The sequence below is a fragment of the Homo sapiens genome, chromosome 16 (assembly GCF_000001405.40).
Source record: "Homo sapiens chromosome 16, GRCh38.p14 Primary Assembly".
Classification (NCBI taxonomy): Eukaryota; Metazoa; Chordata; class Mammalia; order Primates; family Hominidae; genus Homo; species Homo sapiens.
In genome coordinates this window covers 66,028,631-66,033,111 of record NC_000016.10, presented here as the reverse complement: position 1 = coordinate 66,033,111, position 4,481 = coordinate 66,028,631, and the positions used below count along the sequence as shown (strand labels likewise).

At 47.3% G+C, this 4,481-nt stretch overlaps 1 annotated feature.

The window, feature by feature from the left end:
- Nucleotides 2,487–2,986: an enhancer, noted in NCBI's record as "H3K4me1 hESC enhancer chr16:66064029-66064528 (GRCh37/hg19 assembly coordinates)". NCBI's record gives its function as "activates a minimal SCP1, AML or CMV promoter by ChIP-STARR-seq in primed H9 embryonic stem cells {active_cell/tissue: H9 hESC(primed)}" and the evidence as "EXISTENCE:reporter gene assay evidence [ECO:0000049][PMID:30033119]".

Genomic DNA, 4,481 nt, shown 5'->3' with positions numbered 1-4,481 from the left:
TGTCCTCAAGAGGAGGCAGTCTCCCTGAGGGGCTCTCTGGCTATGCATCATCGTAATGGCCCCTCTCTGAAGTACCTGGAAGTCATCGGGAGAAAAACAGTCCCTTCTAACCTTGACTTCTGTGTGTGCCATTGGTTTCTGACAAGCCCTCCTGATTTCTGCAGATGCGTTTCTCCAGGTCCTGTCTGAGGTTCCAGGGGCTCCCCCTGGCTCCGGTAAATGTCCTGGTGGCTGCTTAGTTATTCCACCGTCCTCTCTTTATTACTCTTCCTCCCTCATCATTATTCTTGCAGGACCATAGGCTGTGGGTGCATGAACTCCTTCTGGGCTGAGGCCCAGAGATGCTGCTGAATTGATGGATGTGCTTAATGGTGTTCACAGTCCAGATGGCTGGAGGCACCATCAGGATGCCCTCAGCCATCTGGGGGTCCTGGCTGGCCTTTTAGTTGTATTCAAACTAAGTTTTATTAAGCACCCACTGTTGGCTGTGGCTATCCTTGGCAGTGGGGCAGCACTTTACAACTTACCACATCTACTCTTCATGTGCTTAATAAGCATTCCCCATTCATTTACTCATTCATTCCCCATTCATTCATTCATTCGTTCATCATGTTTATTGAGCATCTATTATACAGTGTGCAGTGCACAAGGGCTATATGATTCCTAGTGTTAATATAATATAAAATGGTCCCTGTCCTTTACAAGCCATGAGGGGAAAGAAACAGTCACAATATCTCATTCAATGAGAGAGAAAGGAAAGCATTTTGGGAGCCCATAAGGAAAGACATTTAGTTCAGGAGTTCATGTGTTGAGAGCACAAGGTGGGAGGTATTAGAGTAGCCTTCCTAGAAGGGGTACTTCCCGTGCTGAGTCTTGGGGGATCCCTAGGACCTAGGCAAGCCAAGAATGCCATCAGGAGGAAGTGGGGACAGGCAGAGGTGACAGCACGGGCAAAGGCTTAGAGGCATGGTGCATTGTGCAGTAGGGCATTACAGGCCATTTGGTTTTTATCGGGGTAATGGGTCTGTTTAAGGGCTGATGGGAGAAGACAATGTGGGAGCTTCCCTTGGTAGAGCACTCCTTCCCTTATGTAACAGTAAGAATGCATTGCTGTGCAGAGAGCTGTGGCTGGGTTCTTGCCTATGAAAACCTAGAATACGGTTGTGGAATGAGGTGGCCTTTTCATCTCAGGGACGGAGCAGGGCAGTAAGTTGGCAAGGGCCCATACAGTGGTTCTTGTTTCAGCCTTTTTCCTTCCAAGCCCTGGTCCTGAGCTTTTGGTTAAGGACTTGGACTCTAGAGGGGCTGCCTTGGACCTTCCTTTCCCTGTTCTGCCTACCCTGTCTCCAGACACAGCACAAAGCTGGAAGGGCATCCATACTTGGCCAGGTGGAATGGGAACCACTGGCCTCAGTGTCAGGGCCTGGGTTCCAGCGTTGGCTCAGCCCCTGACTCCAGGTGAGACCTTGGGCAAATCACTTCTCAAATTCTTGGTGTGGGGTAGGAGGCTGTGAAACTGGATGAAATGTCTCCCCTAGATCTGCCCATCATGATTTTGTGCTTCTAAACATACAACTAGATCTTTGACATTGTGTTAGTTAATATGTTATTAACCATTCCTAGAAACCCAATTTTTTTTTTTTTTTGCCAAGTAACCCTAAACCAATAAAATATTTGGCTGCTCCAAAAACAAAATGGAGTGAGGCAGATAACGATTGTGTTATTCTGTTTTCTAAGATCACAAACTCTAGAGACTTGTATGTTATAGTTACATAAAGTTGGGCAAATTACTTTCTCTAATCCCCATTTTTCTTGTCTCTAAATTGATGCTACAAATAGTGTCTTCTTCATAAGGAGAGTGCTGAGTAGGGCTGCCATGTACAGTTGTGCCTGTCACACACTGCCTAAGAGAACCTGGCTGGGCGGCAAACGGGGGCTGAAATCCGGCCTACACTCTGCTCACCAAGCCATGTGTACTGTCCCAGGTCCCTTACAAATGGGCAAGTGTTGGCAGCTGCCCTGATCCTTGGCATAGCATCTGGCCCAGAAATAAATCCTCATTTTGTTTGCTTTTCTTATTAGCAAAATTAATATTTGAGGACCTGCTTGAACCCAAAGCCTCAGTATCCCCATCTGTAAAGTGTAGGAAGTAGGTTTGTTCATGTCTGCTATTCTCATGAACTTGGATCATCTGTGTGATTTTCGAATCTAGGAGATGAGGGCACAACCTTGAAATTGATTATGCATTTCTTCCCAAGCATATGCTCAAGCTGATTTGAGTCCTGAAGCCTGGCATGGGTGAGACTTCCTGGTTGCATGGGCCAATTTAATGGGTGGAAGCTTATTTCTCCACCCCAGGTTTGCCACCAGAGCCCCAAGTGAGGCACCTGGATGTGTCTTGGCAGCTAATGGAGACATAGGTCACTGTTTTGGTGAATTTCACCGAGGAACCAAGGATGCTATTATGAAGGACCCTCTGCCAGGCTTTTCTAAAGAGTCATGGGTAGGAGTGGGTAGAAAGGAGGATGGTCTCCTGTGTAGTGCAGAAGAACCACATCCAGCAAGGACTCCACCCCTTCAAAGAACCACTCTGTGAACTTGTAAAAATTCTTTTCCAGTCACTATCTTTCCTTTCCTCCTTCCTCTCATCACATAACTTTTCTCCAGTGAAACCTAGGCTTGAAGTGAGTTGAGGCAGAGTTTTCAGAACCTAAGCGACTCAGGCTGGAGGTTTTCAGGCACTTTCAAGCAGAATCTGGTCTGGCTGGCTGCCCAGTGCTCAGCCTGCCTCCAAGGCCCTGGCCTGAAGGCTGCTGGACCCTCACTGGGCTTGGGATTGAGTCCTCTGTTTGGTGAGTCATCTGCCAAAGAAGCACAATTAGTGAGAACTGCCTCTGGTGGAGCCAGCTGCATTTGCCCACCAGGGCCTGTTCCTGGGCCTCCTCCTCATTAGCCTTGACTTGGTCTCTGGTAGTAAGAGGAGCTGGCTCTTTGACGTTTGACACCTGCCTCTGGCCGTGAGTCCCAGAACCACCAAGCCTGGCTGTTCTCCGCCTTCCAAAGGCTAGGGCATGCAACCTGCTCCACTCTCTCCAGTGCGTTTTCCACTGCGATCTCCTATTCTCTATTTAACAGCTGCAGGTGTGTTCTGGCTTAACGCAGAGACTGACATCAGTCCACTCTATTGCTTCTCCAACCTCCTTTCCCCCAGGGCCCAGCAGAGTGGCAAATCAATGACTTAAAAGACTGATCCATTATGAATACTGAATAGTACCATATCTTTACTCCCTTCTCATATAATAGTATTATACATCCGTACCCCCTTGCCATATGACTTTGCAATATCTATAGGAAAGGTAGTGTACTTATCTCAGTCTCATTTCTCATTGACTTTGGACATGACCATGAAGCTTGTTTTAGCCAAGAAAATGCTAGTAGGTGTGGCAAAAGCAGGTTTTGTTTCTTTCTTTTTTTTTTTTTGGAAACAGGGTCTCACTCTGTCACCCAGGCTGGAGTGCAGTGGCACCGTCATGGCTCACTGCAGCCTTGACCTCCCAGGTTCAAATGATCTTCCCACCTTAGCCTCCCAAGTAGCTGGGACTACAGGTGTGAGCCACCACACCTGGTTAATTTTTGTATTGTTTTGTAGAGATGGTGTCTTGCTATGTTGCTTAGGCTGGTCTTGAACTCCTGGGCTCAAGAGATCCTCCCACGTTGGCCTCCCAAAGTGCTGGAATTACAGGATGAGCCACTGTGTCTGGCTTAATTGTATTTGTGGAGTTTTGCTCAGACTCTTGCAATTCTGCTATTTGCTATGAGAAGACAATGCCCGTATTTGCTGCTGGTCTTGGAGAGAGACATGGAGCACACCCAAACCTGCCCCACTTCCCCAAAGCCAGAACGGTAAATCTACAGACTTAAAAGCAATAAATGATGTTGCACCACTGAGAGTTTGGACTTGTTACATGGCAGTATTGGAGAAAAACATCTGCCTGTCATAGGCATCATCTGGGAGCTAGGGCTGTGTCATCTTTGTTTCTGGCTGTCTCAGATCTTAGGCATGTAGTAGAAATGCCAGAAACAATTTGCTGAATGGAAACAGGGACAGGGAGGGAGGGACTCTGGTGGACTTACTGTGTTTGGTTGACACTCTGCTCTCAGTCTGGGTCAGACTCCCACATTCAATCCATCACCAAGCCCAGTGGAATCTGCTGCCAAGATATAGCCCAGATTTGTGTGTGCAATCTCACAGTTGTAAGGTATTGAATCAAATTGTTATGCCACTCTACAAACAAAGTAAAAACACTTCTGTCCAGTCCATGGATCCTGAATGTGCCCTTCCTCTAAGCCCCTGACATTGGTTAAAACGTGAATGGGAGGATCCAGGAAGGCAGAATAGCAGTCAGCCTAATGGCATATCCTGTTCCTTGGAGAGCTCCTTTGGTCTGTTGAAATAGTTCAGATCTGACCAACAGAGCACT